This window comes from Homo sapiens, chromosome 5, assembly GCF_000001405.40.
Source record: "Homo sapiens chromosome 5, GRCh38.p14 Primary Assembly".
Lineage (NCBI taxonomy): Eukaryota > Metazoa > Chordata > Mammalia > Primates > Hominidae > Homo > Homo sapiens.
The window spans coordinates 172,550,681-172,564,141 of NC_000005.10; the positions used below are offsets into that span (position 1 = coordinate 172,550,681).

Genomic DNA, 13,461 nt, shown 5'->3' on the forward strand with positions numbered 1-13,461 from the left:
CTGGCTTGTGTCATCTGGGGTGGGAGACCAGATAAGCTCTGTGAACAGAAAAACATGGAGGGCATGGCCTCATGTGCTGGACTGGAGAAGGGCTTCCTTGGTGGGAAAGGATTTCAACCATGCATCCAAGATCTAGGGGAATCCAACCGACACAAGTGGTGCTGGCTTTGGTTCTCTCTCTCTCATTGGGGCGGAATCTGATTGTCATGGACAGTTGGGTGAGAGTCTTTTCCTTGACTGACTGTTAAGCCCACCAAGGTAACACCCTATGAGTAGACCCTATGAGTAGACTCACTCAGAGCTTTGGGAGAAAAAAATTACATCTTCTCGGCATGAGCTGAGGATTCCATCAACTTGCTGGCTTCCTCCCGCCTCTGCCTGCCCGGCACTGCCTTGCTCTTTGAGAAGAGACTGGGCAAGCTGACTTCCCTGTGACTGGGCCCCAGAGTCCCCAGCAGGGAGATGTGATATCTGGGGAGACTCCCCACTCCCAGCCCTTCCTTCCCGGAGTCCCCAGCAGGGAGATGTGATACCTGGGGAGACCCCCGACTCCCAGCCCTTCCTTCCCAGGGTCCCCAGCCAAGAGCAGGGAGAGTGAGTAACAGCTCAGAACACCTCGGCCGATACCAGGGCTCACTCCCGCAGGGGAGCGCTTGCTCCCTGGAGCCCAGGAAATGCCAGGGCAGCATTCTTGGCCAGCAACCTTCCCCTCTACCCCTCCAGGCTTCCCTCATTCTTCAGCCCCTTCTTCCCCATCACTCAGAGGCCAGAGCAGCGGTTCTCAGAGTGTGGTCCCTGCACCAGCGGCATCAGTGTCATTCACATGCTTGTCAGAAATGCAACATTCCAGCCCCCATGCCAGACCCACTGTAATAATTTGCTAGGGCTGCCATAACAAAGTCCCGTAGTTTGGGTGGCTTAAACAACAGAGACTTCTTTTCTCTTCGTTCTGGAGGTTAAAAGTATGAGACCAAGGTGCTGCCCAGCTTGCTTGCCTGCCTTCCTTCCTTCCTTCCTTCCTTCCTTCCTTCCTTTCCTTCCTTCCTTCCTTCCTTCCTTCCTTCCTTCCTCTTTCTTTTCTTCTCTCTCTCTCTCTCTCTCTCTCTCTCTCTCTCTCTCTTTCTTTCTTTCTTTCTTCCTGAGACAGAATCTTGCTCTGTCACCAGGCTGGAGTGTAGTGGCACTATCCTGGCTCACTACAACCTCCACCTCCCGGGTTCAAGTGATTCCCCTGCCTCAGCCTCCCGAGTAGCTGGGACTACAGGCGTGCACCACCATGCCCGGCTAATTTTTTTTTGTATTTTAGTAGAGACGGGGTTTCACCATATTGGTCAGGATGGTCTCGATATCCTGACCTCATGATCCACCCATCTTGGCCTTCCAGAGTGCTGGGATTACAGGCATGAGCCACCGCACCCAGCCCGGGTTGGTTTCTTCTGAGGCCTCTCTGCTTGGCCTGCAGATGGCCACCTTCCTGCTGTGTCTCAGGTGGTCATCCTTCTGTGTCTTGTGGCTCACTGTGTCCTGATCTCCTCTTCTTATAACAACACCAGTCATATTGGATTAGGGCCCACCCCAGCGACTTCAGTTTACCTCATTTACTTCTTTAAAGGCCCTATGTCCAAATACAATCACATGCTGAGGTACTGGAGGTTAGGGCTTCAACATGCGAATTTTTTTTGGGGGGATGCAATTCAGCCCATAACACCTACTGAATCAGAAACCCTGGGGAGGGACCTGGCAGTCTGTGTTGTAAGGAACCCCTGGTGATTCTGCTGCCTGCTCAAGTGTGAAAACCACTGGACTAGAGTTTAGATCACCCATGAGGTACCAAGCCCTGTGCTAGTCGCCTAATCAGTCAACAAATGGTGTTAGCTCCTGGTTGATGGGTGCTGGGTCACACATAAAACCACCCCCAGCCTCGTCCTCCTGGAGGGCACACACAGTCTGGACAGGGGGACAGATGCAACAATTGATTTAAAAGACTCCATTAAATGATTACGAGAGAGACCAGGGCTGGAAGATACTCAGGGTGCCCTGGAGCAGAGGAGGCTTCTTGGAAGAAGCGAGGTGACCGCCTGGATCTGAAGGAAGAATGATGGTTACCAAGGTCGGAAGCAGTGGCTTCAGACAGGTGCCCCAGCCTAGGGATAGCACAGACCAGGAGCCTCGAATGTGACCATGGGCACCCCGGGGAATGTGCAAGGTAATTCCCTGGGGTACAGGAAGAAATCACTAAATTTTTAAAAATCTTGATAAACATTCAATAAAAGGATCAAAATGAGGATCCACCAATGAGGATCAGTGGTTCTCACACTGGGTTCCTTGGGACCCTGGAATTCTGTGGAGATGCCCCAGGGGGAGTGGTGGACTGAGCATTTTCATTTTCATTTGCCTTATATGTCTATTTTTCATCTTGCCTTTCATTCATTTCAACTATTGAAGTATACTTTAAATGTATGCAACATGTTAGCACAGAAGTACAGGTAGCTACTTTTGATGATAAAAAGTGTACCAGTATTGGAGGTGTGCTGAAAATAATTCTATGAATGTGGTGCTTGTCAACAAAATGTGGAGACCACTGTTGTATATATACAAAGGTGGGGAGGCTGGAAAGAACCAGGAAGGCTGCTGTGGCTGGAATCCAGAAAGGAGTGGGGCAGTACATTGACATGAGGCTGGAGAGGTATCTTAAGGGGCAGTGGGGAGCCACTGAAGGTGCTTGAGCAGGAGAGGGGCTCCATATCATATTTGTGGTTTTGTTTTTATTTTTTTATTTTTGAGATGGAGTTTTGCTCTTGTTGCCCAGGCTGGAGTACAAGGGCACGATCTTGGCTGACTACAACCTCCACCTTCCGGGTCCAAGTGATTCTCCTGCCTCAGCCTCCTGAGTAGCTGGGATTACAGGTGCACACCACCACACCTGGCTAATTTTCTGTATTTTTAGTAGAGACGGGGTTTCACCATGTTGGCCAGGCTGGTCTCGAACTCCTGACCTCAGGTGATCCACCGGCCTCGGCCTCCCAAAATGCTGGGATTACAGGCGTGAGCCACCGCGCCCAGCCAGATTTGTGTTTTAAAAACAACAGTCTGGCTTCTCTGGGGAGGATGATGTGAAGCAGGCAAGAGCAACTCCAACTTAGAACCTCTGTGCTCTTGGGGGTAGCAGTCTGGAGGGGTAAGGAAAGGATGTGTTCTGGAGCCCCTCGGTCTTGTTTCCGGTTCCCTCTCTACTCCTTTTAGTTGTGTGACCTCATTTACAGTGTTCAATCTCTCTGTGCTTTGTTTCCTCACCCTAAAAACAGGAGTCACCACAGGGCTGTAGTGAGGATGAAGCCACATCATGCAAATCAAGGACTGAAAACAGAGCCCAGCACAGAGAAAGTGCTCTGTGTGTGTTCGCTGTTTTTACTGCTGTTGTTTCCGCGATTTGCCTGGGCCCTCCTCCAAGGCAGGAGACTTATCTGTCCACCCTGAGCCCTCAGCAGCCCAGGCTGCTCCTGGTAATGCTACCAACTCACTGTGTGCCCTGGGGCAAGTCCTATCTCTCTATTTGGAGACTCAGTTTCTCCTTATGCAAAATGAGGACCAAAATGAGGATCCACCAATGAGGGTCAGTGGCTCTCACACTGGGTCCCTTGGGGCCCTGGAATTCTGTGGAGATGCCCCGGGGGAGTGGTGGACTGAGCATTTTCATTTTCATTTGTCTTATATGTTTGGATCATGTAAAAAATTTCATTTGAACAAAGAAATCTGTTGCTTCTAACAACCTTTTAAAAGCTTGAATACAAATGGATGAGATGTTCCGTAAAGGTCTTCCAGGTCCAGAGTTGATGAATCTTGTTGCAAAATCATAATGGGCTAGCAGCTTAAGTCGCCCGTTATAAATGTCTCCCCGGCACAGAGTTCAAGTTTCTCACGTATAATCCCTGCCCCCATTAGGCCCGGTAATGCCTGTGAGCAAGGATGTATAATACCTCTCCCCCATCGGCTGCCAGCTGGCCCTCAAGATTTACGTGTGGCTCCTGTTTTTCCTCATGCAAACGCTGCCCGTCGGTTCCTTCCATCTTTCCTAATAAGTCATCTTCCTCACCCTTGGTAATCTCTCTCACTTTTCCCTGGACCGCCTCCAGCCGGCCTTCGTTTATGCAGCCGGCAGATGCCAATTGGCAGCATCCAGGGGCTCCAGTGTGTGAAAGGGGCCCCAGTTCAGTGGGGATATTTGAGCTGAGCTTCAGGCTGCAGGTCTCGAACTTCGGTGAACATCAGAATCTCCTGGCAATGCAGTTTTCTAGGCTTCAGGTCTTCTGACCAGAGGCTGCCTTGGAGTCCAGGAATCTGAACACTTAACGAGCCGCATGTGGGCTTCTGAGGCAGTGTTCTTGAGAGTGTTCTAGGGATCTAGGCCTCAGTGTTCTAGAGACGATGTCTTCAGATTAACTTGAAAACCACTCCCCTTTTCACTCACATCCCTCCTCCATTCATTCATCCAGCCAGTCGGCAAACCCTCACCGAGCACCCACCTATAGCCAGCGTTGCACTGAGAATAAAAAGATAAGCCAGACCCCGACTCTCCCCTTGCCAAATGCATGGTACAATTTGGGAGCTTACAACTTTATGTCTAATACAATGAGGCATGAAAGCAGCAGGTTAAAGAGGAGATGACCCAGGCTCTGGAATGAGATGGGCTGCTCACTAACTTACTGGCTGTGATGGTTAATACTGAGTGTCAACTTGACTGGATTGAAGAATACAAAGTATTGATCCTCGGTGTGTCTGTGAGGGTGTTGCCAAAGGAGATTAACATTGGAGTCAGTGGGCTGGAAAAAGCAGACCCACTCTTTATCTGGGTGGGCACCATCTAATCAGCTGCTAGCACGGCTAGAATATAAGCAGGCAAAAAAATGCGAAAAGAGAGACTGGCCTAGCCTCCCAGCCTGTATCTTTCTCCCATGCTGGATGCTTCCTGCCCTCGAACACCGGACTCCAAGTTCTTCAGTTTTGGAACTCGGACTGGCTCTCAGCCTGCAGACGGCCTATTGTGGGACCTTATGATCACGTGAGTTAATACGTAATAAACTCCCCTTTATATGTATATCTATTCCATTAGTTCTGTCCCTCTAGAGAACCCTGACTAATACAGCGACCCTAGGAAAACAACTAGGCCTTCCTCTGCCATGCTATTATTACAATGGTGATAATAACAGAATGTGCTGCTGGGGGTTATCAGGAAGATTAAACAGGGTCATGGACGGGAAGCTCTTGGCTGATGCCTGGCACACAGCGGTTTTCAATAAACAGTGGTAATTCCATTTTAGGTGGAATTTGCTTTCTTTCTTTTTTTTGAGATGGAGTCACGCTCTGTCGCCAGGCTGGAGTGCAGTGGCGCGATCTCGGCTCACTGCAACCTCCGCCTCCCAGATTTTCCTGCCTCAGCCTCCCGAGTAGCTGGGACTACAGGCGTGTGCCACCATGCCCAGCTAATTTTTGTATTTTTAGTAGAGACGGGGTTTCAGGCTGGTCTCGTTCTCCTGACCTCATGATCCGCCCGCCTCAGCCTCCCAAAGTGCTGGATTACAGGCATGAGCCACTGCGCCTGGCTGGAATTTGCTTTCAATATTTAGGATATTTAGCTTCCTCTTTAATCATCCAAGTCATCTCACTGTTAAAAAAGAATTTTCTTTTTTGCCTTCTTGCAATGAATCAGAGCCCTGAATGAAGGCAGGGAGAAGGCAAAAAGTATTTCTTTTCAGATCAAGGTTCCCCTTTCCTAGGATGCCTTGGGCTGGGGCGTGACTAATCCTTCTCTAAACAAGTCCATGGCCATGTCCTCTCTTGGGAGAGTGGCTGAGAGCTCAGGCCCTGATGCCAGGTGAGTTTGAATCTGGTTCCAGCTGTGTGGCCATGGGCAAGCCACTTCGCCTCTCTGAGCCTAAGGACAGTATGTACAGCATGGTACTGTTGAGGTGTTATATACAGTGAGATCTACAAAGCTTATCTAGGCACATATTCAGCAGTTGTAAACTATTAGCAACAATTCGTCATTCACTGAATAGATATTTATTGAGCACCTAGAATCTGCCACATGTTGGACTTTACACCACAGACATAGCACTTCATTCAAAAACAGACCCAACAATAAGTAAACAAATACAGACATAGATATGTCAGGGTGCTGAGCACCATGAAGAAACATAAAGCAGGGGAAGGGATAGCGTACGATGGGGGCATGGGTTGGGGTATTTAACTAGGACACTGCAGGAAGTCCTATTGCAAATGGGCTGTTTGAGCAGAGCCCTGAATGAAGGCGGGAGAAGGGAGCCTGTCTGTGATGTCTCCTGACCAGGGTCTGGTGGCGGCAGAGACTGGGACTGCAGCCCCGCATTGGCAGCAGGTCTTCCACGATGGGGTGTTCCTCCCAGCTCCCCCCCTCCCTCCTCCTGCTTCTGCTCCCTTTTGGCAACCCCAAGAGGCTGAGAATGTCCTTGGCCACGCTGCTCCCTGGGGCCAGGGCTGTCTCCCCAAGAAGGAGTCCAGTCTTCCCTGTGGAGCTCATGACAGTATTCCCTGGGAACACAAGCCGCGCAGAGGAGACGCCCCGGGAGTTAACAAAGGCACTGAACTATTTAGCTTAATCTCTGACTTCTCTCTCTTGACCTCTCCTCCAACCAAGTAGATAAATGGCCTCGCTCTGTTCAGTGCTTGGCTCGGGTCACAATAAATCAGCTGGCTGTGTATGCATGCACGCTTACTCTCCCAAGCTGAGGCCAGCCTTCCTGTGATAAACCACCAGTATTTATTCCAGTCTGTCCTGTGTGTGTCCTGGAAACAGAAATAATTTGGGGTTGGGGTGTGTTTTCAGGTTCATGCTCTGCTCTTCTTATCCCACAGAGTTTGACAGAGCTAAGCCAAGCCAGAGTTACGCTGACACACAAAAATGACACAGGCTAAATCACAAACCCTGCAAAGGCTGCTGAGTTTCATCATCCCCGTCCCAAAGGCAAGCCCCTCTTCCCTTGAGTAAGGATACCTAATGTGTGTCAGGGGATTCACCAGATGCAGACAGGAACCAAGCCCCATCCTGCCCTAGAAGAGCCTGCAGGCCGGTGAGGAGGGCAGACAACTTTCACCCAGGACAAAAGTTGCTAAGAGAATAAAGAGACATCACATTTTCTTGAGTACTCACTATGCACCAGGAGTTGTTCCAAGATCCCAATTAGCAGTAACGCATTTAAACCTCAGAGCAGCTCAACATGGTAGAGGTGTGTTCCCATCCACAGCACTGCACTGACACCAGACAGCCTGGGAGGGCTGTGGGAGCCAGACTGGGTATGACTCTGTGGCCTGGGGTCAGATGTCTGCAGCTTCCCAGAGAAGAACACACTTGATTGAGCCTTGTTGGGGTGAAGAAGCACCTGACAAGTGGAAAATAATTCCAGGCAGAAGGACCAGTGTGGGCCAAGAAAGGCACATGTGGTCCTGTGGTGTACTCTCAACCACCCAGGTCCTATTATCGTGCCCATTTTCAGAGATCAGTGAGGTTGAGCAAGTTGCCCAGGGACACACAGGAGACTGTTCAGATTTTCACTCCTGGTCACCAACTACTGGGTCTACTGCCTCCAGACAATGCAGGTCACAGGGGCACATCATATGGGACCTCCTGGAGGGCTCGTTCTCATCTCAGATGTCAGGAGGCACGGCCCAGAACGTGCAGGGCCCTGAGATCTGTGCTCAGCGGCTTGGACTGGAGGCTGAGTAGACCAGTTGTGAGCAGGCTCTGGAGGCTATGGCCCCAGCAGCCCTAGTGGCTTAGCAGGAAGACCACAGCCTGCACCAGCCACTCACTTCCAGACCCCACACCAGAGGCCCCTGAAAGGGGGCAGGATGTGCCTCTGGACTTGCAGACACCCACCCCCCATGACAGTCCTCCAGGGGCCCATCAATCCCCACAGCCTTTCCTTCTTCTTCAAGGGCCTCCGCCCTAGAGAGGGACTTTTTCGTGAGAAAACAGAGGTGCCTTACCCCACCCAGTTCCCCTTCCACACTGGGAAGGCAGGGCTCGGAAGGCAGGGCTCAGACCGCAGGGAGGGATGGAGAAGGGGGAGCTCGGAGGCTGCTGGAATGAACTGGGCTGGGGGTGGGAGGCATTTCTGTAAAGGAGGACTCGAGGCCTCCAGGGGCTGGGGCGGGAGGCAGTCAGGCTGCTCGAGATTCTGGCCACTTGGCGCAGTCATATTTCAGAGCCTCGGCTTCCTCACCTGTAACCTGGGGACAGTGGTCGTTCCTTGAGGCACGCCAGGAGGGGAGAATGAAGCGGAATATGGAAAGGGCCTCCCCTTTAGTAGCTGTTCCCGGCACAAGGAGTTTGGGTGGTGGGTCCCCGGGAGGACCTATTTATTGTTAGTATGAGCCATGACGGCAATCATCTAGCAATGCCTGCTGCGGCACGAGACCAGAATGGCGGACACGGTGGAGAAAGGCAGCCCTGGTTGAACTCAGCCGCACGGGGCTGTTTTCCTTCTGCTGGTGGCTGCGGCTGGGGGGTGGAGGGGGCGGGTGGGGGCTGAGCTCAGCTCTTAGCTGGAGATGTCTCAGCATCTGATGTGACACTGCTGTTGTTTTTGGCTTCACATCCAAGACTCTTTCGCGGCTAATTACTCACTGTCTTGGGAGACTGGCCCAGGAACCTGAGAAAGGAGAGAGGAGAGAGAGTGCCGGTTTCTGTTTTGCAACCAGTTAAGGAGGCAGCAGTGCTGGGACCCATGGACCTGGCTGGAAGGAATAAAGTCTTTTGCACGCTCTCAGCTTTATTGAGATATAATCCACGTACAATAAAATTCACAGTTTGGATAAACCTACTAAAAACCTACAAAACCCACAAAACCAAAAAATCATCACCCCCCCCCATCAAGATTTAGAATCTCTCCAATAACATTTCCTCTTGCCCCATCTGTCAATACCCACTCTGCCCTAACTAATCACTAATCTGCCTTCTGTCACTATGTGTTGGTTTCACCTTTTCTAAAATTTTATATGGATGAAATCACCTAGGATGGACTCTTTGGCATCAGGCTATTTTCATGCCACGAAATGTTTCTGAGATTCACCTACATTGCTGAGTGAATCACAGGTCCATTCCTTTTTTTTTTTTTCTTTCGAGATGGAGTCTTGCTTTGTCGCCCAGTCTGGAGTGCAGTGGCGCGATCTCGACTCACTGCAACCTCCGCCTCCCAGGTTCAAGCAATTCTCCTGCCTCAGCCTCCCGAGTCGCTGGGATTATAGGGACCCACCACCACGCCTGGCTAATTTTTGTATTTTTAGTAGCTGGGATGACAGGCGTGCACCCCTACACGCGGTTAATTTTTGTATTCTTAGTAGAGATAGGGTTTCACCATATTGGCCAGGCTGGTCTCGAACTCCCAACCTCAAGTGATCCACCCCCCCCGGGCCTCCCAAAGTGCTGAGATAACAGGCGTGAGCCATCACACCCGGCCGGGTCCATTCCTTTTTAGTGCCAAGTTGTATTGCATTTATGTGGACACGACACAATTAATTTACTCATTCATTTACTAATAACCATTTTAGGTTGTTTCCAGTCTTTGGGTGAACATATGCTCTCATTTCTCTTGAGTAAATACCAGGAGAGTAAATATCAGTGGAGTTATTAGTGCATATTATAAATGTATGTTTAGTTTTATAAGGAACTTCCAGTCTTTTCCCAAAGAGGCTGTACATTTTACACTCCCATCAGCAATGTCTAAGAGTTCTAGTTACTCCATATCCTTGCCATCACTTGATATTGGAAATCTTTTAAATTTTAGCCATGTTGTTAGTAGGGGTTAGTAGGTATCTTACTGTGGTTTCAATTTGCATTTCTCCGGTGATTAATAATGTTAAGTATCTTTTCACAGGCTTGCATCTCATATGGGATTTTGAAAATGAAATGTGGGGAGTCTTGAACCAAGGCCTTGACACTCCCATGAGAAGACCTTGGAAATTTGGGAGGGGATTAGAGGATCATGTGCCATTATCCCTACCTCTCCTAACCTAACTTTTAAAACTGGAATGGTTTATTACATGAGTAATATACATAAATGTATTCATCTTGCAAGAATAGGAAAAATGTCTTATGTAAGACTTGAGACTCCCATGAATGCACTGAGGGATCCCTTTATAACCCCTTGTTTCTTCTCAGAGATCCTTCTTTATTTTTAGTTTTTTGAGACAAGGTCTTGCTTTATGGCCTAAGCTGGAGTGCAGTGGTGCGATCACAGCTCACTGCAACTTCCAGCTCCCAGGCTCAAGTGATCCTCCCACCTCAGCCTCCCAAGCAGTTGGGACCACAGATGCGTGCCCCATGTCCAACTAATTTAATTTTTTTTTTTTGTGGAGACAGGGTTTTGCCATGTTGCCCAGGCTAGTCTTGAACTCCTGAGCTCAAGCGATCTGCCTGATTCAGCCTTCCAACATGCTGGGATTACAGGCGTGAGCTACCACGCCCAGCCCCTTCTTTATATTTGCAGACATGTCCCCCCCATCACAAATATCCAGTATATGTTTTTATGGGTGTGTTCTTACATGCATGATAAAATGCTGTACAAATCATTCTTCAGCTTGCTTTTCCCAATCATCAAACTCTCTTAGAGGTCTTGCCATGTCAGTACATGTTGATCTGCCTTGTTCTTTTTGTTGGTTAGAATTCCATTGTAAGGATGAATCATAGTTTATGAATCAATTTTCCTACTGCTGGATACTTAGGTTTGCTCGTGGTGTTTTGTTGTTGCAGTGGTGCAACAAACATCCTTGTCCTTGCTTTCTTTGCTGATATGTGTGTGTTTCTCAAGGCAGATTCCAAGGAGTGGAACCATCAAGGTTTTGTATCAGTTATCTATTGCCACAACAATACTGTGTAACAAACAACTCAAGATTTAATGGCTTAAAACAACAATCGTTTATTCTCATCAGTCAACTGGTTGTTGGTTGGGTAGTTCTGCTGATCTGACCTCAGCTTAACTGATCACAGCTGAGTGTTACTTATGTGTTCAGGGCTGGCTGGCGGGTCAGCTGGGGGCTGGCTGGTCTTGGATGGTCTTAGCTGGGAAACTCATCTCTGCTTTATGTGGCCTCTCTTCCTCAATCAGACTGGCTTGGGTTCATTCCCGTGGTGGGGACAGGGGCCTGAGAGAGAGTGGAATTACTCAGGGCTTCTTGAAGTCTGGGCTTAGAACTGGCTCACCATCACTCATGCTCCATTCTATCAGCCAAAGCAGATCAGGAGACCCCACAGATTCAACAGATGGGAAAATAAAATCCACTACAGTCTGCCTCCTGGGCTCAAGTGATCCTCCCACCCCAACCTCCTGAGTAGCTGGGACTACAGGTGTTCACCACCACGCTTGGCTAATTTGTAAATTTTTTTGTAGAATGGAAGTCTCATTATTGCTCAGACTGGAAAACTCACTTCTTGATAGGAAGAGTGGCAAGTCACATTGCAAAGGGTATGAACACAGGGAGGGGAGGAATTGGGGCCATTTTTTGCAGTCTACTATGGTTTTTGAATATGTACATTTTCCATTTTATTGGATATGCCGAATTGCTCTCCTAAATGGTTGGTTCAGTCTACACCCCATGGGCAGTGGGCAGGAGAGACCGTTTCCCTATAACGTGTCATGCATAGAGTCTGTGCACTTTGCCAGCATGCGGGCCAGATCTGTGATTCTCCAACATAGTGCAAGAGCTTACAAGGCTACAGGAGAAGTGAAATGCACCCTCCAAGAGGCTTCGTTTTACTCATCTTTATGGAGGCAAAAACCCATTTCTAAAAATTGAAACAAACATGGAGATAATGCATGACCGTGCAAAATTCATGTGACGTTTAAAGATAAACCATAAGATTTCAAAGAAACGTCTTGCTAGCAAGGCCAGCTACTTCAGACTTGACACTGTACACTCAGAACTTCTGCATTTGCTCATTTGTGTGCCCAGTGAATATTTAGAGATTGCCTCCGGCATACCATGCATGGTTCCTCGTATGGGGTCATAGCAGTAGATGTGAGAGTCAAGGACTCCGTCATATTGGAGTTAAACATATAGGGGGAGGAAAGAGATTCTAAACATTAATAATTTCCGAAAGTAATAAATGCCATGAAGAAAATAAAACAGGGTGATATGATAGAGAGCCACCAGGGCTGGCGGCTGTGACCTTAGTCTGGGAGGTCAGGGAAGGTGATTTGAGTAGGTGACATTTGAGTTGAGCCCTAAGTGACAAGAAGGAGACAGCAAACTTGAAGAGCTGAGCTTGGAAGTGTGTATCAGCCTGAGGAAACACAATGCAAAGGCCCTGGGGTAGGAACAAGCTTGGTGCTGCCTAGCAACAGTGGGGAGGCCAGTGAGGCGGAAGCCCAGGGAGCCCAGGAGAGAAAGGCAGGAGAGGAAGACATAAAGGGTGGCAGAGGCCAGATGGCTATTGAGCACTCACTTGTGCCAAGCACTGTGTTAGCTACCTTCACAGTCTTCTGCCCTTGGGGCAGAGAAGAAGTCAGTGCACCCTCTGCAGGTCTGCTATGAGCTGGTTAAAATGGATTTACATCACAAGCAGCAAGAACCAGGGGAGGGTTGGCAGTGCTCACACTGACAAAATGGTGGTGATCTCCTGCCAGCATTGACAGGGCAGAGGGTGGACTTCAGGTCATGGTTTGGTCCATGGAACTGGAAAGAAAAGGGATGGGTTCAAAAGCAAGCAAGGGGGCTCCAGGAACAGCATCAAAGACCACTGGGAAGGGGCTGGCTGTGGGGACCCAATGCCAGGTGAACCTGGGAGTGAGGCCAAGCCACCCGGACTCCACCAGCCAAGCACACATGCCCGCACTTGACCATTTGGGGAACAGAAAGGAGAGCCCCCGGCCAGCATAGGCCACCCCCAGCAGCAGCACATCCCAGGCAAGCCCACACCCCCAGGTGCTGTCCAGGAGAGACCTGCCTTCCAAGACTCTGCTACCACAGCCCAGTGGCTCTGGGACCCTAGGCAAGTTGCCTCTTCTCCCAGCTTTGGTTTTCCTAGTATGCTAAGCCTCAGTAAGAAAACTGTCTCCAACCACAAAGGTATCCTACTGCAACTCTCCTAGAGGTCTCTGTTCAAATTTTGCCTGGGATCAGTCAGTAAGCCCTTCTTTCTGTCCAGCCATGTTCCCTCATGTGGGATCAGAAGCCCTGGGCTTGCATGCTGCCTTGGTTTCTCATTAGCTTTGATTGCCTTTCTTGGACCTCAGTATCCCCATCTACCAACTAAGGAAACTTCCGACTCCCAGATCCCATCAGACAGGAGACCAGCTACCCTCCCAAGGAGATTCTGGAGAAGTGGGGACAAAGATGAGCTGATGACAACCTCCTCCCCGTCCCCTCCCATCATGCACAGGGTGGAGTGGGGGGAACAGAGCCAGCAGATGAACATCCCAGAAGGTT

General features: G+C 49.5%; 1 long non-coding RNA gene across 1 annotated transcript, besides 1 other annotated feature; it reads right to left on the bottom strand.

Moving 5' to 3' along the window:
• Positions 226 to 520: a silencer, noted in NCBI's record as "tiled region #3838; HepG2 Repressive DNase matched - State 21:Repr, and K562 Repressive non-DNase unmatched - State 21:Repr". NCBI's record gives its function as "represses a minimal TATA promoter and a strong SV40 promoter by Sharpr-MPRA in HepG2 and K562 cells {active_cell/tissue: HepG2 | K562}" and the evidence as "EXISTENCE:reporter gene assay evidence [ECO:0000049][PMID:27701403]".
• On the bottom strand, positions 6,045 to 8,334 carry LINC01944 (long intergenic non-protein coding RNA 1944). Its single transcript, NR_146726.1, has 3 exons — positions 8,259 to 8,334; positions 7,187 to 7,415; positions 6,045 to 6,822 (listed from the first exon to the last, which is right to left on the bottom strand). It is a non-coding gene; the product is annotated as a long intergenic non-protein coding RNA 1944 (long non-coding RNA).
• Between the last annotated feature and the right edge of the window lie 5,127 nt (positions 8,335 to 13,461).